Source organism: Homo sapiens, chromosome 6, assembly GCF_000001405.40.
Source record: "Homo sapiens chromosome 6, GRCh38.p14 Primary Assembly".
Classification (NCBI taxonomy): Eukaryota; Metazoa; Chordata; class Mammalia; order Primates; family Hominidae; genus Homo; species Homo sapiens.
The window spans coordinates 70906490-70931322 of record NC_000006.12 but is presented as its reverse complement, the minus strand read 5'-3'; the positions used below and the strand labels follow the sequence as shown (position 1 = coordinate 70931322).

General features: G+C 39.3%; 1 protein-coding gene across 2 annotated transcripts in view; it reads left to right on the top strand.

Moving 5' to 3' along the window:
- Window positions 1-24833, top strand: part of B3GAT2 (beta-1,3-glucuronyltransferase 2) — a 100382-nt gene that overhangs the window by 25738 nt on the left and 49811 nt on the right. The gene's annotated exons all lie outside the window — the stretch shown is intronic.

Sequence of the window (24833 nt, the reverse complement as noted above, 5' to 3'; positions counted from 1 at the left end):
AAGTTCTAGGGTACATGTGCACAACGTGCAGGTTTGTTACATATGTATATATGTGCCACGTTGGTGTGCTGCACCCATTAACTCATCATTTACATTAGGTATTCTCCTAATGCTATCCCTTCCCCCTCCCCCCAACCCACTACAGGCCCCAGTGTGTGATGTTCCCCACCATGTGTCCAAGTGTTCTCATTGTTCAGTTCCCACCTATGAGTGAGAACATGTGGTGTTTGGTTTTCTGTGCTTGAGATAGTTTGCTCAGAATGATGGTTTCCAGCTTCATCCATGTCCCTACAAAGGACATGAACTCACTCTTTTTTATGGCTGCATAGTATTCCATGGTGCATATGTGCCACATTTTCTTAATCCAATCTGTCATTGATGGACATTTGGGTTGGTTCCAAGTCTTTGCTATTGTGAATAGTGCCGCAATAAACATACGTGTGCATGTGTCTTTATAATAGCATGATTTATAATCCTTTGGGTATATAACCAGTAATGGGATGGCTGGGTCAAATGGTATTTCTAGTTCTAGATCCTTGAGGAATCACCACACTGTCTTCCACATGGTTGAACGAGTTTACACTCCCACCAACAGTGTAAAAGTGTTCCTATTTCTCCCATCCTCTCCAGCACCTGTTGTTTCCTGACTTTTTAATGATCGCCATTCTAACTGGTGTGAGATGGTATCTCATTGTGGTTTTGATTTGTATTTCTCTGATGGCCGGTGATGATGAGCATTTTTTCGTGTGTCTGTTGGCTGCATGTCTTTTGAGAAGTGTCTGTTCATATCCTTCGCCCACTTTTTGATGGGGTTGTTTGATTTTTTCTTGTAAATTTGTTTAAGTTCTTTGTAGATTCTGGATATTAGCCCTTTGTCAGATGGGTAGATTGCAAAAATATTCTCCCATTCTGTGGGTTGCCTATTCACTCTGATGGTAGTTTCTTTTGCTGTGCAGAAGCTCTTTAGTTTAATTAGATGCCATTTGTCAATTTTGACTTTTGTTGCCATTGCTTTTGGTGTTTTAGTCATGAAGTCCTTGCCTATGCCTATGACCTGAATGGTATAGCCTACGTTTTCTTCTAGGGTTCTTATGGTTTTAGGTCTTACATTTAAGTCTTTAATCCATCTTGAATTAATTTTTGTATAAGGTGTAAGGAAGGGATCCAGTTTCATCTTTCTACATATGGTTAGCCAGTTTTCCCAGCACCATTTATTAAGTAGGGAATCTTTTCCCCATTTCTTGTTTTTGTCAGGTTTGTCAAAGATCAGATGGTTGTAGATGTGTGGTATTATTTCTGAGGGCTCTGTTCTGTGCCATTGGTCTATATCTCTGTTTTAGTATCAGTACCATGCTATTTGGTTACTGTAGCCTTATAATATAATTTGAAGTCAGGTAGCAAGATGCCTCCAGCTTTGATCTTTTTGCTTAGGATTGTCTTGGCAATGTGGGCTCTTTTTTGGTTCCATATGAACTTTAAAGTAGTTTTTTCCAATTATGTGAAGAAAGTCATTGGTAGCTCAATGGGGATGGCAGTTAATCTATAAATTACCTTGGGCAGTATGGCCATTTTCACAATACTGATTCTTCCTATCCATAAGCATGGAATGTTCTTCCATTTGTTTGTCCTCTTTTATTTCATTGAGCAGTGGTTTGTAGTTCTCCTTGAAGAGGTCCTTCACATCCCTTGTAAGTTGGATTCCTGGGTGTTTTATTCTCTTTGAAGCAATTGTGAATGGGAGTTCACTCATGATTTGTCTCTCTGTCTGTTTTTGGTGTATAGGAAAGCTTGTGATTTTGCACATTGATTTTGTATCCTGAGACTTTGCTGAAGTTGCTTATCAGCTTAAGGAGATTTTGGGCTGAGACGATGGGGTTTTCTAAATATACAGTCATGTCATCTGCAAACAGAGACAATTTGACTTCCTGTTTTCGTGATTGAATAGCTTTTATTTCTTTTTTTAAATATATATTTTTATTATACTTTAAGTTCTAGGGTACATGTGCACAATGTGCAGGTTTTTACATATGTATACATGTGCCATGTTGGTGTGCTGCACCCATTAACTCGTCATTTACATTAGGTATATCTCCTAATGCTATCCCTCCCCCCTCTCCCTACCCTGGTGTGTGAAGTTCCCCTTCCTGTGTCCAAGTGTTCTCATTGTTCAATTCCCACCTATGAGTGAGAACATGCGGTGTTTGGTTTTTTGTCCTTGCGATAGTTTGCTGAGAATGATGGTTTCCAGCTTCATCCATGTCCCTACAAAGGACATGAACTCATCCTTTTTTATGGCTGCATAGTATTCCATGGTGTATATGTGCCATGTTTTCTTAATCCAGTCTATCATTGTTGGACATTTGGTTTGGTTCCAAGTCTTTGCTATTGTGAATAGTGCCTCAATAAACATACATGTGCATGTGTCTTTATAACAGCATGATTTATAATCCTTTGGGTATATACCCAGTAATGGGATGGCTGGGTCAAATGGTATTTCTAGTTCTAGATCCCTGAGGAATCACCACACTGTTTTATTTCTTTCTCCTGCCTGCCAGCTCCTCCTGGTACCTCTGATAGAATTCAGCTGTGAATATGTCTGGTCTGTGGCTTTTCTTGCTTGGTACACTATTAATTATTGCCTCAATTTCAGAGCCTGTTATTGGTCTATTCAGGGATTCAACTTCTTCCTGGTTTAGTCTTGGGAGGTTGTATGTGTCCAGGAATTTTTCTATTTCTTCTAGATTTTCTAATTTATTTGTGTAGAAGTGTTTATAGTATTCTCTGATGGTAGTTTGTATTTCCGTGGGATTGGTGGTGATACCCCCTTTATCATTCTTATTACATCTATTTGATTCTTCTCTCTTTTCTTCCTTATTAGTCTGCTAGTGGTCTATCAATTTTGTTGATCTTTTCAAAAAACCAATTCCTAGATTCATTGATTTTTTGAAGTTTTTTTTTTTGTGTCTCTGTCGCCTTCAGTTCTGGTCTGATCTTAGTTATTTCTTGCGTTCTGCTAGCTTTTGAATGTGTTTGCTCTGGCTTCTCCAGTTCTTTTAATTGTGATGTTAGGGTGTCGATTTTCAGTCTTTCCTGCTTTCTCTTGTGGGCATTTAGTGCTATAAATTTCCCTCTACACACTGCTTTGAATGTGTCCCAGAGATTCTGGTATGTTGTGTCTTTGTTCTCGTTGGTTTCAAAGAACATCTTTATTTCTGCCTTCATTTCATTATGTACCCAGTAGTCATTCAGGAGCAGGTTGTTCAGTTTCCATGTAGTTGTGCAGTTTTGAATGAGTTTCTTAATTCTGAGTTCCAATTTGATTGCACTATGGTCTGAGAGAGTTTGTTGTGATTTCTGTTCTTTTACATTTGCTGAGGAGTGCCTTACTTCCAACTAAGTGGTTAATTTTGGAGTAAGTGCAATGTGGTGCTGAGAAGAAAGTATATTCTGTTAATTTTGGGTGGAGAGTTCTGTATGTGTCTATTAAGTCCACTTGGTGCAGAGCTGAGTTCAAGTCCTGGATATCCTTGTTAACCTTCTGTCTCATTGATCTAATATTGACAGTGGAGTGTTAAGGTCTCCCATTATTGTCTCCCATTATTATTGTTTGGGAGTCTAAGTCTCTTTGTAGGTTTCTAAGGACTCGCTTTATGGATCTGGGTGCTCCTGTATTGGGTGCATATATATTTAGGATAGTTAGCTCTTGTTGTTGAATTGATCCCTTTACCATTATGTTAACGGCCTTCTTTGTCTCTTTTGATCTTTGTTGGTTTAAAGTCTGTTTTAGCAGAGACTAGGATAGCAACCCCCGGTTTTTTTGCTTTCCATTTGCTTGGTAGATCTTCCTCCATCCCTTTATTTTGAGCCTATGTGTGTCTCTGCATGTGAGATGGGTCTCCTGAATACAGCACACTGATGGGTCTTGACTCTTTATCCAATTTGCCAGTCTGTGTCTTTTAATTGGGGCTTTTAGCCCATTTACATTGAAGGTTAATATTGTTATGTGTGAATTTGATCCTGTCATCATGATGTTAGCTGGTTATTTTGCTCATTAGTTGATGCAGTTTCTTCATAGCATCGATGGTCTTTACAATTTGGCCTATTTTTGCAGTGGCTGGTACTGGTTGTTCCTTTCCATGTTTAGTTCTTCCTTCAGGAGCTCTTGTAAGGCAGGCCTGGTGGTGACAAAATCTCTCAGCATTTGCTTGTCTGTAAAGGATTTTATTTCTCCTTCACTTATGAAGCTTAGTTTGGCTGGATATGAAATTCTGGGTTAAAAATTCTTTTCTTTAAGCATGTTGAATATCGGCCCCCTCTCTCTTCTGGCTTGTAGTGTTTCTGCTGAGAGATCTGCTGTTAGTCTGATGGGCTTCCCTTTGTGGGTAACCCGACCTTTCTCTCTGGCTGCCCTTACCATTTTTTCCTTCATTTCAACCTTGGTGAATCTGACAATTATGTGTCTTGGGATTCCCCTTCTGGAGGAGTATCTTTGTGGCGTTCTGTGTATTTCCTGAATTTGAATGTTGGCCTGCCTTGCTAGGTTGGGGAAGTTCTCCTGCATAATATCCTGAAGAGTGTTTTCCAACTTGGTTCCATTCTCCCCGTCACTTTCAGGTACACCAATGAAACGTAGATTTGGTCTTTTCACATAGTCCCATATTTCTTGGAGACTTTGTTCATTTCTTTTTACTCTTTTGTCTCTAAACTTCTCTTCTCACTTCATTTCATTCATTTGATCTTCAATCTCTGATACCCTTTCTTCCAGTTGATCGAGTCAGCTACTGAAGCTTGTGCATTCGTCACGTATTTCTCATGCCATGGTTTTCAGCTCCATCAGGTCATTTAAGATCTTCTCTATGCTGTTTATTGTAATTAGCCATTTGTCTAATCGTTTTTCCAGGTTTTTAGCTTCTTTGAGATGGGTTCGAACACCCTCCTTTAGCTCGGAGAAGTTTGTTATTACCAATCTTCTGAAGCCTACTTCTGTCAACTCATTAAAGTCATTCTCCATCCAGCTTTCTTCCTTTGCTGGCGAGGAGCTGCGATCCTTTGGAGAAGAGTCGCTCTGATTTTTAAAATTTTTGGCTTTTCTACTCTGTTTTCTCCGCATCTTTGTGGTTTTATCAAACTTTGGTCTTTGATGATGGTGACCTACAGATGGGGTTTTGGTGTGGATGTCCTTTTTGTTGATGTTGATGCTAGTTTTGTTGATGCTTTGTTAGTTTTCCTTCTAACATTCAGGACCCTCAGCTGCAGGTCTTTTGGAGTTTGCTGGAGGTCTACTCCAGACGCTGTTTGCCTGGGTGTCACCAGCAGAGGCTGCAGAACAACAAATATTGCAGAACGGCAAATGTTGCTGCCTGATCCTTCCTCTGGAACCTTCATCTCAGAGGGGCACCTGGCTGTATGACGTGTCAGTCGGCCCCTACTGGGAGGTGTCTCCCACTGGGCTACTCAGGGGTCAGGGACCCACTTGAGGAGGCAGTCTGTCCATTCCCAGATCTCAGACTCTGTGCTGGGAGGACCACTGCTCTCTTCAAAGCTGTCAGACAGGGACGTTTAAGTCTGCAGGTTTCTGCTGCCTTTTGTTAAGTTATGCCCTGCCCCCAGAAGTGGAGTCTACAGAGGCAGGCAGGCCTGGTTGAGCTCTGGTGGGCTCCACCCAGTTTGAGCTTTCTGGCCGCTTCGTTTACCTAGTCAAGCCTCAGCAATGGCAGACGCCCCTCCCCCAGTCTTGGGGCCGTCTTGCAGTTTGATCTCGGACTGCTGTGCTAGCAGTAAGCAAGGCTCCATAGGTGTGGGAACCGCCGAGCCAGGCACGGGTTATAATCTCCTGGTGTGCCGTTTGCTAAGACCATTGGAAAAGCGCAGTATTAGGGCGGGAGTGTCCCGAGTTTCCAGGTACCATCTGTCACGGCTTCCCTTGGCTAGGAAAGGGAATTCCCTGACCCCTTGTGCTTCCAGGGTGAGGTGATGCCCCGCCCTACTTTGGCTCACACTCCATGGCCTGCACCCACTGTCCAACAAGTCCCAGTAAGATGAACCCAGTACCTTAGTTGGAAATGCAGAAATCTCCTGTCTTCTGCGTCACTCACGCAGATGCATGAGCTGTAGACTAGAGCTGTTCCTCTTCGGCCATCTTGTAACGATCCTGCTAGGGTTTTTTCAAGGATAGTTTGGCAGGGAGAGAGATGACAAAGGAATGAGTGCTGCTGATTGGTTGGCGGTGCAATCACAGAGGTGTGGGAAATGATCCTTATGCTGAGTCCACTTCTGGGCGAAGGCCGCAGGACTGGTTGGCAGGTCAGGTGGTGCCATCTGGTTGTCAGAATTGCAAAAGCCTGAAAAGACATCTCAAAAGGCCAACCTCAGGATCTATAATAGTGATATTACCTGCAGGAGTAATTGAGGAAGTTGCGAATCTTGTGATTTGCAGAATAATGACTGGTAATTGTTCACATCTATGTCTTAGTAGAATTGAGGCTCCTCTCATTCTCCCATTCTGGTGGTCTTTCATTAGTTTTACGAAAGTAGTTTAGTTTGGGGGAAGGGCTATTATCATTTAAACTACAAACTAAATTTCTTCCAAAGTTAGCTTGACCCAATCCCAGGAATGACTAAGGGCATTTGGAGGGTAAAGGCAAGATGCAGGCTGGTTGGATCAGATCTCCTTCACTGTCATAATTTTCTCACTGTTTTAAGTTTTGCAAGGGTGGTTGCATAGGGTTTATTTCTGGGCTCTCTATTCTAGTCCATTGGTCTATATTTCTGTCTTTATGCCAGTACCACATTGCTTTGATTAATGTAGCTTTGTTATAAGTTTTGAAATTGGAAAGTGTGACTTACTTATTCTTTTCAAGATTCTTTTGGCTATTCAGGGTGCCTTGAGATTCCATGTGAATTTTAAGATGTATTATTATTCTGTTACTGCAAAAAACATCATTGGGATTTTGATAGAGATTGCATTGACTCTGTAGATCTTCTTTAGTAGTTTTGACATTTAGCAATATTAACTCTTCCAATCCATAAATATGGAATTTTGTTCCATTTATCTTTGTGGTCTTTAATTTCTTTCACCAGTGTTTCATAGTTTTTAGTGTATATGGTTTTTGCCTCCTTGGTTAAGTTTATTTATGATTTTTTATGCTGGTAGGTTTTATTTTTTAAATTTTGGGGGAAGTGTTTTATTAATACAAATGTATGGGTTACAAGTGCAATTTTGTTACATGTATAGATTGTATAGTGGTGATGTCAGGACTTTTATGGTATCCATCACTCAAATAACTTCCATTGTACCCATTAAGTACACCCCACTCCCACCTGTTAAGTTTTAATAAGTTGGTTTAGTCTCTGTTCTGTCTCTGAAAAATGTCAGATACTACTAACAGAACTAAAAAATCCAGGACTGAGAGAAACTTTAAGTACATACAACAATATAAACAGATCTTAAAAATATGATACAGCATAGAAAAATGGAAACCAAAACATATTCCACAATGTCATTCAGTACTTTTAAATTACTACACAGAAAGTGTTATACATTTCACAAAAATGTATAAGAATAGCACACACAAATTATCAACAAAATAATACAGGGTTTTCTGAATTGTCTACCTGTGAGATGTTTCTAAGCAGGGTTTTATTATTGATTGATTGATTGAGACAGGGTCTGACTCTGTCGCCCAGATTGGAGTACAGTGGTGCAATCCTGGCTTGACCTCCTGGCTCAAGTAATCCTTCCACCTCAGCATCCCAAGCAGCTGGGACTATAGGTTCACACAACCATGCCTGGCTACTTCTTTAAAAAAATTTTTGTAGAGAGTCTCACTACACTGCTCAGGTGGTCTCAAGCTCTTGGGCTCAAGCAATTCTGACACCTCAGCCTCCCAAAGTGCAGGGATTACGGGTGTGAGCCGTTGCACCTGGACTAAGCAGGGTTTTAAGTGACTTGGTTCTTGTTTATGTTGACACTAAACATGCATCAAAGATTAACCTTCTAAATTCTGGAACACAGAAAGAAGGGCAGCCCTTATTTCAGGGCTGGGCTGATGATAGAATTTACTTGATGCAGTTTTTCATAGAAAGATATGTGTCTTTTTGTTTTAAACATATAAGAAAAGAGTTTCCACTGTTTACCTGGTACTAGGTCCCAATGTCTAAACCAAGTTTGGAGAATCACATCCTCTGAGCAGCCTATGTTGATGATGATGCTGATGACAATGATGACAGAAGACACTTATATGGTACTTATTTATGTAGCAGAACCATAGTCCTTTATATGTTTTAACTCATTTAATATTCAAAACAACCCTATGACATGGTACATTGATGTTGTTATACCCATTTATATGTGTGGAAATGGTCATACAGTGTCTTATTAATTTGCCTGAGGCCACACAGCTAATTAGTGGTGGATCTGAGGTTGGATTTCTAGGAGCCAGATTCACAAATCCAACACTGCACTTTGCTTTTTCTCTATTGTCTATCGCTCATTGATTTTTTTATTCTCAATTTTATTTCCTTCCTTTATTTTTGGTTTAATTTTCTCTTCTTTTTTTAGTTTCTTGAGATGAAAACTTAGATCTTTGATTTTTCTACCTCTCTTCTTTTCAATATTTATTATGCTTAAAGCTTTACACTTCACCCTAGGCATTGTTTTTGTTGCATCCCACATATTTTGATGCTGTATTTTTATATTCAGAATATTTTCTAATTTATATTTATTTGTTCATTTTAAAAATAATTTTACTAAATAATATAAAATGCTAATTTTGAAATACTTAGGATTTTCTTACATTTGGTTTTGATTTCTAATTTAATTCTATGTGGTTTTAAAATATAGTTTCACTCAATTGAAATTTATTGATTTACTTTATATTCCTGCATATGGTTGATACTGGTGCATGTTGCATGTACACTTAAATAACATTTATTCTGCGATTGTTGGATACAGTGTTCTATATTTGTCAATTAGATTGAGTGCTGCTCAGATGTTCTATATTCCTACAGATATTTCATGTGCTTATTCTATAAAATACAAATTGTTAATGTTTCTGATTAGGACTAGAAGACTTTTCTTTTACCTTTTAAATATATTTTTTATTTTATGTATTTTGAAACTATGTTATTTGGTGCCTATACACTTAGATTTTTTTCTTGAGGAATTGATCCTTTATCATTATGAAATATCCTTCAGGCACCCCGCTCCCACAGATGTATGCATCTTGCTGTACCCCTGCTTCTGCTGGCACAAATGCACAGGCATGGATCCTGCTGCCACCACCTTGATGAAGTGTGTGGCCAGCACCCCCATCAGAGTACTGTTACCAGCATACTGGGAATACCTTGCCCCCAGAGTGCAGCAGCTTTCTAACCTCTATGGGGCAGAGAACAAAGTTGGGGGGCCCAGTACCAGCCCATCAGCGTTACATCACATAGCCCATGAGTGATGAGCTGAGCCTTGGTGCCCTGAAAGCATTCAGAATGAAGCCAGTCAACTGAACCGACATTATACCACAATCAAACCCTCAAGAATATCAAAGAATATAAAAGTAAAAAGCCCTATCCAAAGGATAGCAACTTCAAAGATTAAAGGAATGTCAGCCCACACAGATGAGAAAGAATCAATGCAAGAACTCTGGCAATTCAAAAAACTAGAGTGCCTTCTTACCTCCAGACAACCCCACTGGTTCCCTAGCAATGGTTCTTAACAAAACTGAAATGACAGAGATAGAATTGAGAATCTGGATAGAAAAAAGATCATTGAGATTCAGGAGAAAGTTGAAACCCAATCCAAGGAATCTAAGGAATCCAATAAAACAATACAAGAGATGAAACGAAATAGCCATTTTAAGAAAGAACCAAACTGAACTGATAGAGCTGAAAAACTCACTACAAGAATTTCATAATGCAATCACAAGCATTGTTAACATCAGAATAGACTACTAACATCAGAATAGACCAAGCTGAGGAAAGAATCTCAGAGCTTGAAGACTGGTTCCTCAAATCAACTCAGACAAAAATAATGAACAAATAATTAAAAAGAGTGAACAAAACCACTGAGAAATATGAGATTAGGTAGAGACCAAATCTGTGACTCATTGACATCCCTGAAAGAGAGAGAGAAAAAGCAATTTTTCCAGCCTTGCTAGAGAGGCCAAAATTCAAATTCAGGAAATGCAGAAAACCCCTGTGAGATACTATACAAGACAACCATCCCCAAGACATGTAGGCATCAGATTCTCCAACGTCAACATCAAAGAAAAAATACTAAGGCAGCTAGAGAAAAGGGGCAGGTCACCTACAAAGGGATTCCGATGAGGCTAACAGAAGACCTTTCAGCAAAAGCACTACAAGCCAGGAGAGATTTGGAGACCTATGTTCAGCAAAAAAAATTCCAACCAAGTATTTCCTGTGCAGCAAGACTAAGCTTAATAAGCAAAGGAGAAACAAGATCCTTTTCAGACAAGCAAATGCTAAGAGAATTCATTACCACCAGACATGCCTTACAAGAGGTCCTTAAGTGAGTGCCAAATATGGAAACAAAAGACTGTTACTGGCCACCACAAAAATATACTTAAGGACTAGACCTCTGAACACTATAAAGCAATTACGCTATCAAGTCTGCATAATATCCAGCTGACATCATGATGACAGGATCAAATCAACACATATAAGTATTATCCTTAAAAGTAAACATGCAAAATGCCTGACTTAAAAAGTACAGAATGGCAAATTTGATAAAGAAATAAGACACATGGAGAGTTGCTCCAAATGGCAGGATAGGAACAGTTCTGGTCTACAGCTCCCAGCAAGATCAATGCAGAAGACAGGTAATTTCTGCATTTCCAACTGAGGTACCTGGTTCATCTCATTGGGATTGGTTGGACAGTGGGTGCAGCCCATGGAGGGCAAGCCGAAGCAGGGCGGGGCATCCCTCACCGAGGAAGTGCAAGGGGTCAGGGGATTTCCCTTTCCTATCCAAGGGAAGCCATGAGTGACTGTACCTAGAGGAAAAGTACACTCCTGCTCAAATACTGCACTTTTCCCACGGTATTCGCAACAGGCAGACCGGAAGATTCCCTCCCATGCCTGCTCGGTGGGTCCCACGCTCATGGTGCCTTGCTCACTGCTAGCACAGCAGTCTGAGATCGACCTGGGATGCTGGAGCTTGGTGGGTGGGGAGCGGCGTCCACCATTGCTGAGGCTTGAGTAAGCGGTTCTATGCTCACAGCGTAAACAAAGCAGCAGGGAAGCTTGAACTGGACGGAGCCCACTGCAGCTCAGCAAGGCCTACTGCCTCTGTAGATTCTACCTCGGGGGCAGGGCATATCTGAAAAAAATGCCGCAGACAGCTTCTGCAGACTTAAACATCCCTGCCTGACAGCTCTGAAGAAAGCAGTGGTTCTCCCAGCACGGGGGCGTTCAAGCTCTGATAACGGACAGACTACCTCCTCAAGTGGGTCCCTGACCCCTGTGTAGCCTGATTGGGGGATACCTCCCAGTAGGGGCCAACAGACATCTCATACAGGCGGGTGCCCCTCTAGGACGAAGCTTCCAGAGGAAGGATCAGGCAGCAATATCTGCTGTTCTGCAGCCTCCATTGGTGATACCGAGGCAAACGGTCTGGAGTGGAACTCCAGCAAACTCCAACAGACCTGCAGCTGAGGGGACTGTCTGTTAGAAGGAAAACTAACAAAGAGGAATAGCATCAACATCAGCAAAAAGGACATCCACACGAAAACCCCATCCGTAGGTCACCAACATCAAAGACCAAAGGTAGATAAAACCACAAAGATGGGGAGAAACCAGAGAAGAAAGGCTGAAAATTCCAAAACCAGAACGCCTTTCTTCTCCAAGGATCACAACTCCTCGCCAGCAAGGGAACAAAACTGGACAGAGAATGAATTTGATGAGTTGACAGAAGTAGGCTTCAGAAGGTCGGTAATAACAAACTTCTCCAAGCTAAAGGAGCATGTTCTAACCAATCGCGAGGAAGCTAAAAACCTTGAAAAAATGCTAGATGAATGGCTAACTAGAATACAATAACCAGTGTAGAGAAGAATATAAATGACATGATAGAGCTTAAAACCATAGTACAAGAACTTTATGAAACATACACAAGCTTCAATAGCTGATTCAATCAAGCGAAAGAAAGGATATCAGTGATTGAAGATCAAATTAATGAAATAAAGCAAGAAGACAAGATTAGAGAAAAAAGAGTGAAAAGAAACGAATAAAGCCTCCAAGAAATACGGGACTATGTGAAAAGACCAAATCTACGTTTGATTGGTGTACCTGAAAGTGACAGGGAGAATGGAACCAGGTTATAAAACACTCTTCAGGATATTATGCAGGAGAACTTCCCCAACCTAGCAAGGCAGGCCAACATTCAAATTCAGGAAATACAGAGAACACCACAAAGATACTCCTCGAGAAGAGCAACCCCAAGACACATAATTGTCAGATTCACCAAGGTTGAAATGAAGGAAAAAATGTTAAGGGCAGCCAGAGAGAAAGGTCGGGTTACCCACAAAGGGAAGCCCATCAGACTAACAGCAGATCTCTCAGCAGAAACACTACAAGCCAGAAGAGAGAGGGGGCCGATATTCAACATGCTTAAAGAAAAGAATTTTTAACCCAGAATTTCATATCCAGCCAAACTAAGCTTCATAAGTGAAGGAGAAATAAAATCCTTTACAGACAAGCAAATGCTGAGAGATTTTGTCACCACCAGGCCTGCCTTACAAAAGCTCCTGAAGGAAGAACTAAACATGGAAAGGAACAACCGGTACCAGCCACTACAAAAACATGACAAATTGTAAAGACCATCGATGCTATGAAGAAACTGCATCAATTGATGGGCAAAATAACCAGCTAACATCATAATGACAGGATCAAATTCACACATAACAATATTAACCTTCAATGTAAGTGGGCTAAATGCCCCAATTAAAAGACACAGACTGGCAAATTGGATAAAGAGTCAAGACCCTTGACTGTATTCAGGAGACCTATCTCACATGCAAAGACACACATAGGCTCAAATAAAGTGATGGAAGAAGATCTACCAAGCAAATGGAAAGCAAAAAAAAGGGTTTGCCATCCTGGTCTCTGATGAAACAGACTTTAAAGCAACAAAGATCAAAAGAGACAAAGAAGGCCGTTAACATAATGGTAAAGGGATCAATTCAACAAGAAGAGCTAACTATCCTAAATATATATGCACCCAATACAGGAGCACCCAGATTCATAAAGCAAGTTCTTAGAGACTAAGTCTACAAAGAGACTTAGACTCCCACACAATAATAATGGGAGACTTTAACACCCCACTGTCAATATTAGATGGATCAACGAGACAGAAAGTTAACAAGGATATCCAGGACTTGAACTCAGCTCTAGAGCAAGCAGAACTAATAGACATCTACAGAACTCTTCTTCCCAAATCAACAGAATATACATTCTCCTCAGCCCCACATCACACTTATTCTAAAATTGACCACATAATTGGAAGCAAAACACTGCTCAGCAAATATAAAAGAACAGAAATTACATCAAACTGTCTCTCAGACCGCAATGCAATCAAATTAGAACTCAGGATTAAGAAACTCACTCAAAACTGCACAACTGCATGGAAACTGAACAACCTGCTCCTGAATGACTACTGGGTAAATAACGAAATGAAGGCATAAATAACAATGTTCTGTGAAGCCAATAAGAACAAAGATACAACGTTCAAGAATCTCTGAGAAACATTTAAAGCAGTGTGTAGAGAGAAATTTACAGCACTAAGTGTCCACAGGAGAAAACAGGAAAGATCTAAAATCGACACCCTAACATTGCAATTATAAAAGAACTACAGAAGCAAGAGCAAATGAATTCAAAAGCTAGCAGAAGACAAGAAATAAATCAGAGCAGAACTAAAGGAGAGAGAGACACAAAAAACCCTTAAAAAAAATCAATGAACCCAGGAGCTGGTTTTCTGAAAAGAGCAACAAAATAATTACATGACAAGCAAGACTAATAAGGAAGAAAAGAGAGAAGAATCAAATAGACGCAATAAAAAATGATAAAGGGGATATCACCACCGATCCCACGGAAATACAAACTATCATCAGACAATACTATAAACACCTCTACGCAAATAAAATAGAAAATCTAGAAGAAATGGAAAAATTCCTTGACACATACACCCTCCCAAGACTAAACCAGGAAGAAGTTGAATCTCTAAATAGTTCAGTGACAGCTTCTGAAATTGAGGCAATAATTAATAGCCAACCAACCAAAAAAAGTCCAGGACCAGACAGACTCACAGCCAAATTCTACCAGGGGCACAAAGAGGAGCTAGTACCATTCCTTCTGAAACTATTCCAATCAATAGAAAAAGAGGGAATCTTCCCTAACTCATTTTATAAGGCCAACATCATCCTGATAACAAAGCCTCACAGAGACACAACAAAAAAAGATAATTTTAGGCCAACATCCCTGATGAACATCGATATGAAAATTTTCAAAAAAAAATACTGGCAAACCGAATCCAGCAGCCCATCAAAAAGCTTATCCACTACGATCAAGTCGACTTCATCCCTGGGATGGAAGGCTGGTTCAACATAGGCAAATCAATAAATGTAATCCATCACATAAACAGAACCAACGACAAAAACCACATGATTATCTCAATACATGCAGCAAAGGCCTTCAACAAAATTCAACAGCCTTTCATGCTAAAAACTCTCAATAAACTAGGTATTGATAGAATGTATCTCAAAACAGTAAGAGTTATTTATGACACACCCACAGCCAATATACTGAATGGGCAAAAACTGGAAGCATTCCCTTTGAAAACTGGCACAAGACAAGGATGCTCTCTCTCACCACTCCTATTCAACATCGTGTTGGAAGTTCTGGCCAGGGCAATAAGGCAAGAGAAATAAATAAATGGTATTCAATTAGGAAAAGAGGAAGTCAAATAGTCTGTTTGTAGATGACATGATTATATATGTAGAAAACCTCATCGTCTCAGCTCCAAATCTCCTTAAGCTGATAAACAACTTCAGCAAAGTATCAGGATACAAAATCAATGTACAAAAATCACAAGCATTCCTATCCACCAAGAACAGACAAACAGAGAGCCAAATCATGAGTGAACTCCCATTCCCAACTGCCTCAAAGAGAATAAAATACCTAGGAATCCAACTTACAAGGGATGTGAAGGACCTCTTCAAGGAGAACTACAAACCACTGCTCAATGAAATAAAAGAGGATACAAACAAATGGAAGAACATTCCATGCTCATGGATAGGGAGAATCACTATCATGAAAATGGCCATACTGCCCAAGGTAATTTAAAGATTCAATGCTATCCCTATCAAGCTATCACTGACTTCACAGAATTGGAAAAAAACTACTTTAAAGCTCATATGGAACCAAAAAAGAGCCCACATAGCCAAGACAATCCTGGGCAAAAAGAACAAAGCTGGAGGCATCACACTACCTGACTTCAAACTACACTACAAGGCTACAGTAACCAAAACAGCATGTTACTGGTACCAAAACAGACATGTAGACCAACGGAATAGAACAGAGGCCTCAGAAATAACACCACACATCTACAACCATCTGATATTTGACAAACCTGACAAAAACAAATCGGGAAAGGATTCCCTATTTAATAAATGGTGCTGGGAAAACAGGCTAGCCATATGTAGAAAGCTGAAACTGGATCCCTTCCTTACACCTTATACAAAAATTAACTCAAGATGGATAAAAGACTTGAATGTAATACCTAAAACCATAAAAACCCTACAAAAAAACCTAGGCAATACCCTTCAGTGCATAGGCATGGGCAAAGACTTTATGACTAAAACACCAAAAGCAGTGGCAACAAAAGCCAAAATTGACAAATGGCATCTAATTAAACTAAACAGCTTCTGCACAGCAAAATAAACTACCATCAGAGTGAATAGGCAACCTACAGAATGGGAGAAAAATTTTTCAATCTATCCATCTGACAAAGGGCTAATATTCAGAATGTACAAAGAACCTAAACAAATTTACAAGAAAAAAAAAACCACTGCATCAAAAAGTGGGCAAAGGATATGAACAGACACTTCTCAAAAGAAGACAGTTATGCAGCCAACAGACATATGAAAAAATGTCCATCATCACTGGTCATCAGAGAAATGCAAGTCAAAACCACAATGAGATACCATCTCATGCCAGTTAGAATGGCGATCATTAAAAAGCCAGGAAACCACAGATGCTGGAGAGGATGTGGAGAAATAGGAACACTTTTACACTGTTGGTGGGAGTGTAAATTAGTGCAACCATTGTGGAAGACAGTGTGGCGATTCCTCAAGGATCTACAACTATAAATACCATTTGACCCAGCAATCCCATTTGTGGGTATATACCCAAAGGATTATAAAGCATTCTACTATAAGGACACATGCACACATATGTTTATTGCAGCACTATTTACAATAGCAAAGACTTGGAACCAACCCAGATGTCCATCAATAATAGACTGGATATATAGTATTCTATGTCTGGTTAAAAAAAAAGTTATTCAATTTTATGGATTTGGATTAGGATCATTCCCATTTCTGTAAATATTTACACCTATAAGGATATCAAGAAGGAATGTCAGGCAGTTTACTAGTAACTTTTCAAAGTCTTAGAAAAGTTGCATTTTTTGCTGGCACCAAGAGGGGAAAACATCATAAAAATAGTTTCAAAATCTACAATCAATGCTTTCTCCAAAATAAATGTCTTTGTTAAAAAAAATAATAATAATAGACTGGATAAAGAAAATGTGGCACATATATACCATGGAATACTATGCAGCCATAAAAAAGGATGAGTTCATATCCTTTGTAGGTACATGGATGAAGCTGGAAATCATCGTTCTCAGCAAACTATCACAAGGACAGAAAACCAAACACCGCATGTTCTCACTCATAAGTGGGAGCTGAACTATGGGAACACGTGGACACAGAGAGGGGAACATCACACACCGGGGCCTGTCAGAGGGTGGGGGACTGGGGGAGAGGTAGTGTTAGGAGAAATACCTAATGTAAATGACGAGTTGATGGGTGCAGCATACCAGCATGGCACATGTATAACCACGTAACAAACCTGCATGTTGTGCACATGTACCCTTGAATTTAAAGTATAATTTAAAAAAAGAAGAAGAAATAAGTCACAATTGTATGCTGTCTTCAAGAGACCCATCTCATGCAGAGCTACCCATAGGCTCAAAATAAAGGTTTAAAGAAAAATCTACCAAGTAAATGGGAAAAGAAAACAGGAGTTACTATTCTAATTTTAGACAAAGCAGACTTTAAAGCAACAATGATCAAAAAAGACAAGCGCATGACATAATCATAAAGGGTTCAATTCAACAAGAAGACTTAAATATCCTAAATATATGTACCCAACACAGGAGCTTGCAGATTCATAGAACAAATTCTTAGAGACCTACAAAGAGACATGGATAACCACACGGTAATATTGGGAGACTTCAGCACCCCACTAACAGTATTCAATCATCAAGGCAGAACACTAACAAAGATACTTGGGACCTGAACTCAGTATTTGACTAAATGGACCCAACAGACATCTACAGAACTCTGCACTCCAAAACAACAGAATATACATTCTTCTCATCGCCACATGGCACATACTCTAAAGTCGACCACACAATCGGCCATAAGTCAATTCTTAGCAAATTAAAAACACAAGAATCACACTAACCACACTCTTGGACCATGGCGCAACAAAAGTAGAAATCAGCCCCAAGAAGATCATTCAAAACATACAGCTACATGCAAATCAAACAACCTGCTCCTGAATGACTTTTGGGTAAACAATGAAATTAAGGCAGAAATCAAGACATTTTTTGAAACTATTGAAAATAAAGATAAAATATACGAAAATATCTGAGACACAGCTAAAATAAAGATAAAATATACCAAAATCTCTGCGACACAGCTAAAGCAGTATTAAGAGGGAAGTTTATAGCACTAAACACCCCTATCAAAAAGTTAGAAAGATCTCAAATTAACAGCCTAACATTGCACCTAGAGGAACTAGAAAAACAAGAGCAAACCAACTGCAAAGCTAGCAGAAGAAAAGAACCAAAACAAGAACTGAACTGAATGAAATTGAGACAGGAAAATGATATAAAAGACCAGTGAAACCAGAAGCTGGTTCTTTGAAACAATAAATAAGATGGATAGACCACTGATTATACTAATCAAAAAACAGAGCAGATCCAAATAAACTTAATCAGAAATGACAAAGAGGACATTACCATCAACCCAACAGAAATATAAAAAACCTTAAAAGACTATTACAAACACCTCTATGCAGACAAACTAAAAAACCTACAAGAAACGATAAATTCTTGGAAACATACAGTCTCCCAAGACTGAACAAGGAAGAAATTGAAACCCTGAACAGACCAATAACAAGTTCCAAAATTGAATCAGTAGTAAAAAGCCTACCAACCAAAAAAGCCCTGGACCAGATGGATCCACAACCAAATTCTGCCAGATGTATAAAGAAGAGCTGGTACCATTCCTACTGAAACTATTCCAAAAAATTAAGGAGGAGGGACCCCTCCCTAACTCATTCTATAAGGCCAGCATCATCCTGATATAAGGCCAGCATCATCCTGATATAAGGCCAGCTTCATCCTGATAACGAAAACTGGGAGAGACAACATAAAAAGAAAACCTCAAGTCAATATCCTGGACAAACATAGATGCAAAAATTCTCAATAAAATACTAGCAATCTGAATTCAGCAGCACATCAAAAAACTAATCCACCATGATCCAAGTAGGCTTTATACTTGGCATGTGAGATTGGTTCACCATATACAAATCAATAAATATGATTCATCACATGAACAGAACTAAAAAGAAAAACCAAATGATAATCTCAATAGATGCAGATACATCTATTGAATGCAAAATTCAGTACCCCTTCATGTTAGAAACCCTCAACAAACTAGGCATCAAAGGAACATACCTCAAAATAATAAGAGCTATCTGTGAAAAAATCACAGCCAGCATCATACTGAAAGAGCAAAAGCTGGAAGCATTCCCCTTGTGGAATAAGACAAGGATGCCCACTATCACCACTCATATTCAATATACTACTGGAAGTCCTAGGCAGAGCAGTCAAGCAAGACAAATAAAGAAAAGGCATCCAAATAGGAAGAGAGGAAGTCAGACAATATGATTTTATACCTAGAAAATTCCATAGTGTCTGCCCAAAAGCTCCTAGATCTGACAAACAACTTCAGCAAAGTTGCAGTGTACAAAATCACTGTGCAAAAATAAGTTGCATTCCTTTACACTAACAACATCCAAGCTGAGAGCCAATCAAGGACACAATCCCATTCATAATAGCCACACAAAAAATAAAATACCTACGCATACAGCTAACCAGAGAGGCAAAATATTTCTAGATTGAGAATTACAAAACAGTGCTGAAAGAAATCAGACAACACAAACAAACGAGAAAACATTCATTCCATGCTCGTGGATAGGAAGAATCAATGTTGTTAAAGTGGCCATACTGCCCAAAGCAATTTACAGATTCAATGCTATTCCTTTCAAACTACCAGTGATATTTTTCACAGAATTAGAAAAAACTATTCTAAAATTCAGGTGGAACCAAAAAAGAGCCTGAATAGCCAAATCAATCCTGAGCAAAAAGAACAAAACTGGAGGCATCACATTACCAAAATTCAAACTGTACTGCAAGCTTACAGTAACAAAAACAGCATGGTACTTGTACAAAAACAGACACATAAACCAATGGAATAGAGAGCCCAGAAATAAAGCTGTGTACTCAGAACCATCTGATCTTTGACAAAATTGACAAAAACAAACAATGGGGAAAGGACCTGCTAGTCAATAAGTGATTCGGGATGGATCGCTACCCATATGCAGAAGATTAAAACTAGACCACTTCCTATCACCATATATAAAATCAACTCAAGATGTATTAAAGACTTAACTGTAAAAACTATAAAACCCTAGAGGAAAACCTAGGAAATACCATTCTGGACATAGTCCCTGGCAAAGATTTCATGATGAAGATGCCAAAAGCAATTGCAACAAAAAAACGGCAAGTGGGACCTAATTAAAGATCTTCTGCACAACAAAAAGAAACTATCAAGAGAGTAAACAGACAACCTATAGAATGGGAGAAAGTATTTGTAAAGTATGCATCTGACAAAGGTCTAATATCCAGAATCTATAAGGAACTTAAACAAGTTTACAAGAAAAAAAAATTTTTAAAGTAGCTAAAGTAAATGAACAGACACTTTTCAAAAGATGACATACATGTGACCAACAAGCATATGAAAAAATGCCCAACATCACTAATCATTAGAGAAATACAAATTAAAACCACAGTGAGATACCATCTCACACCAGTCAGAATGGGTATTATTAAAAAGTTATAAAATAGCAGATGTTGACGAGGTTATGGAGAAAAGGGAATGCCTATACGCTGCTGGTGGAAATGTAAATTAGTTCAGCCATTGTGGAAAACAGGGTGGCAATTTCTCAAAGTACTTAAAACAGAACTACCATTTTACCCAGCCATCCACTTATTGGGTATATGCCCAAAGGAATAGAAATCATTCTACCATAAAGACACATGCACACACACGTTCATCGCAGCACTATTCACAGTAGGAAAGACATGGAACCAACTTAAATTTCCATCACTGGTAGATTGGATAAAGAAAATGTGGTACATATACACCATGTAATACTACGTAACCATAAAAAAAGAATAAGATGATGTCCTTTGCAGCAACATGGATAGTGCTGGAGGTCAATACTCTAAGCGAACTAATGTAGGAACAGAAAACCAAATGCTGCATGTTCTAACTTATAAGTGGAAGCTAAACATTGAGAACACATGGATACAAAGAAGGGAATAATGGACACTGGACCTACTTGAGGGTGGAGGGTAGGAGGAGGATGAGGAGAGAAAAAATGACCTAATATGCTTATTACCTGGGTGATGAAAATCTGTACACCAAACCCCCACAACATGCAATTTATTGATAACAAACCTGCACATGGACCCCTGAACCTAAAATAAAGTCTTAAAAAAAGAAGAGGGGCCGGGCACAGTGGCTCACGCCTGTAATCCCAGCACTTTGGAAGGCTGAGGCGGGTGGATCAGGAGGTCAGGAGATTGAGACCATCCTGGCCAACACGGTGAAACCCCATCTCTACTAAAAATACAAAAAATTAGCCGGGTGTGGTGGTGGGCTTTTGCAGTCCCAGCTACTCGGGAGACTGAGGCAGGAGAATGGCATGAACTCGGGAGGTGGAGCTTGCAGTGAGCTGAGATCATGCCACTGCACTCCAGCCTGGGCAACAAAGCAAGACTCCGTCTCAAAAACAAAAGAAAAACAAAAAAACAAAGAGGAGGAAGAGGAAAATAAGGCCCATGGTGCTTAAAGTCACACATGTGCCAAAGCCAGCTAGTAAACAAAGCAAAGATCTGAATTCAGATATTTGTTTAACTGCTGTGGTTCTAATTATATCACGCACCTTGGACTCAAAGCAGGATAGAGAAGGTTGGGCAGTGGATCACAAAAGATATCAGCATAAATACACATCATTTATTCTGTATTATCTGATGCCAAGCAGTGTGCTAAGCACTTTACATACATCATCTTATTTGTACATCCCAATTACCTTCTGATACAGCTGTCAATTCCCACTTTTATCAGGAAACTGAGGATCAAAGAGGGTAAGTAATACATCCAGAGTTACAAAGCTGTTAAAAATATTAGAGGGTCTGACTCCAGTGTATATATTTTTAAAAGCCCCTTATTATCTCTGGTAATCACTGTCTTGAAAACTACTTTGTCTGATATTAATAAAGCCACAGTAGCTTTCATACACCTTCTTGTTTACATATGATTTCCCATATTCTTTTATCCCATCTATGTTATTAAAATGTGTCTTGTCAATAGTATATAGTTTGTTCTTGTTTCTTTATTCATTTTGTTTTCCTGATACTCTTTTCCCAATTAAGGAGGTAATAATCTGTAAGCAAAGCCTTATTTACATAAACACTGCTGTGATCTTATACCAAATAAACAGCCCTAGCATGTGTGTGTGTGTGTGAGAGAGAGAGAGTGTGTGAATGTGTGTGTGTTTGGGCTTTCTGAATTAGATTTTCTTTCAAGATCCACCTACATCTTTACTTTTGGCCTAAGTAATGGTTGGTCATGTTAACTGTGTAAAATATTAATCTTTTTCTGAAGCTACAAAGAGTCCATGTCTACTTACTGTTCTAGGAAAAGTTTTTTCAAATTTGGGAAGTGTCTACCTTTTAAAATATTTTCTGAGAGTGTTTAATTACTTCTATGATCTTAAAAGGTTCTCTCCATTTTACTTTTATCCAGCTGTCACATATTCTGAGTATGTTTTCCACCAGGAGAACCTGAGAATTTTTTTTTCTCTTAGATTTTGAGTATAGAGATAAGATTTTATCCTGCATCCAGTTCCAACCTGTTAATATAATTCTATGCAAGTTTCCTCTCTTGTTGTGTTTATTTCCCTTTATCCTTATCCTTAGTCATCTATTCCAATGTTTATGCTGTGCATTATTATATTTTCATGTATCCTTGTGAAATGTAGAGTGCTTTATGTGCAATATTTTAAATGTACATAAATGGCATTATAGATTAAAACATTTTTTCATGTTGTACCATGTTTTTGAGGTTTATTTATATTGCTATGTATACCTCTAGTCTACTGCTTCTAACTGTGAAACATTTTTTTCAAATTCAAATTCTCATAAATGCTGTACTTATTTTGGAAATTAGAATTCAGCACAAGGTACTTCTCTGTATTCAACACCATAGCATTTTAGCGCTTTACTAATGGGTGGAAAAATTAAACTTCAGTCCTACTGTTCAAAGAGCCTATTTAGTCAAAGATGGCCAAGATGGAAAGCTTCCACTTTCCTGTGAGTCAGGTCCTAGTAAATGTGAATCTTACACAGAGATGATTAGTTATAGCTCCTAGCACTAACTCCCTGGAGGCAATGTCCTTGGTGCCCCTGACTCTCTTCCATTTAGGCACTCATCTTTGTTAGATGCCTTAGGTTTATTTACGTAAAATCATGCTGCACTTCTCCCTGATACTGTGGTTAAAGTTTTTATGGCCTTGCACCAAACCAACAGCCCAGAATAGCTACATGCCAGGGAGATATTGTCAGCAAGGTTTGGGCATTAATATGAAGAATCTTGTATATTGTTGAAACTTCTGGTCCAACAGAATGGAAAGTGTGCCAAATAGGAAGCTTTTGGGTACAGGTGACAAAAACCCCAACTCAAACTGGCTTCAACGCTAAGCACATATATTATCTCACTATATTAGCAGAATAACTAAATATTGGCAGCTGCAGAGGCAAACCCTGACTACTGAGAGGCTTGATACAGTAAAAGCTTATTGCTTGGTCTCACAAAGTTTGCCAGGGGTTGGTGACTCTCCTGGGCAGTTAGTGACTCAGATATGTCGCTTTATAAGCAACACATGACTTGTAAAGTCACCCCTGCAAGGGAAGAGGACTGGTGGATCACATAGATTGTTTTTAAGGACCAGGCTGGAAATTGACTTATATGAATTTTGCCCATGCTCCAGTGTGCATAAATCCGTCATCAGTCATATGACCCCATCCTAACTGCAAAGGATGCAGAAACATGGAGTCTTCCTGTGAACTTAGGAAGAGGAAAAGTGTTGAGCAAGAAGCCACATTCCATAACAGGAAGTCCAGATATACAGCAGGTTTTAGGGATGGATGACTTAGTGACTCAGTGGTGTCATCACCGTCCTGAAGTCTTTCCAATGCTCTCCACCCTGCCGTCCTCACAATGTCAGCTTTGTCTTCAGGCTGGTTCTCTTCCTGGTTGCAAGGTGGCTGCTGTAGTTCAGCCATCACAACCAGACATGGCAATGTGCTGGGACAGAAAGGGACCATCCTTAGGAGTGAGGGCACTTTTCCCAGAAGCAGCCCAGCACACTTCCTCTGATGGCCAGGACTGCCAGGCCCAAACTAATCACTGACAACTCAAGATTTATCCCTGGCATTGAGAGACCATCACCCTCTTGGCAGTCATGTGGGGGAAGGGCTGGTTACCATTTGAACCAAAATGAAGCTTAGCCAATAAGGAAGAGAAGAAAGTAGATGTTGAGTAGGCAACGAACAGTATCTGCTATAGCCCATCCCTGGACTCGCTGAGGTTTCATGGTAAAGTTTGTGGTTTTCATCATGTTCCTGCACCATTCTCAGTAAGTTGATGCCTAGCATTGCATATTTTCTTTTGCTATTGTAATGCTGTTTCCATGATAGTTGCTTGTGTATAGGATTGTCATTGATTTTTCACTCACCTTTGTTCAGTTTTCTTTTATCTATGTGTCTGTGTAATTGCCTTAAATTCTTTTTTCAAGCAGTATTAGATGTTAATTAGAGACTGAGAAACCCAGAGGTGGAAGGATCTTAAGTGGAGCAGGGGATCGGATTAAAGAATAAGAAAGCAAAGAATACTGTATTTCATTTCTGTGAAAAGAGAGGTTACATTTCCTTGCATGAGGAAAAAGTAGGAGTGTGTGCTTTTCTCAAAACTTGCTATAAGGCTGGGTGCAGTGGCTCATGCCTATAATCAGCACTTTAGGTGGCCAAGGCAGGAGGATTGCTTGAGCCCAGGAGTTTGAGACCAGCCTGGGAAATCTAGTAAAGCCCTGTATCTACAAAAAATAAAAAATTAGCTGAGAGTGGTGGT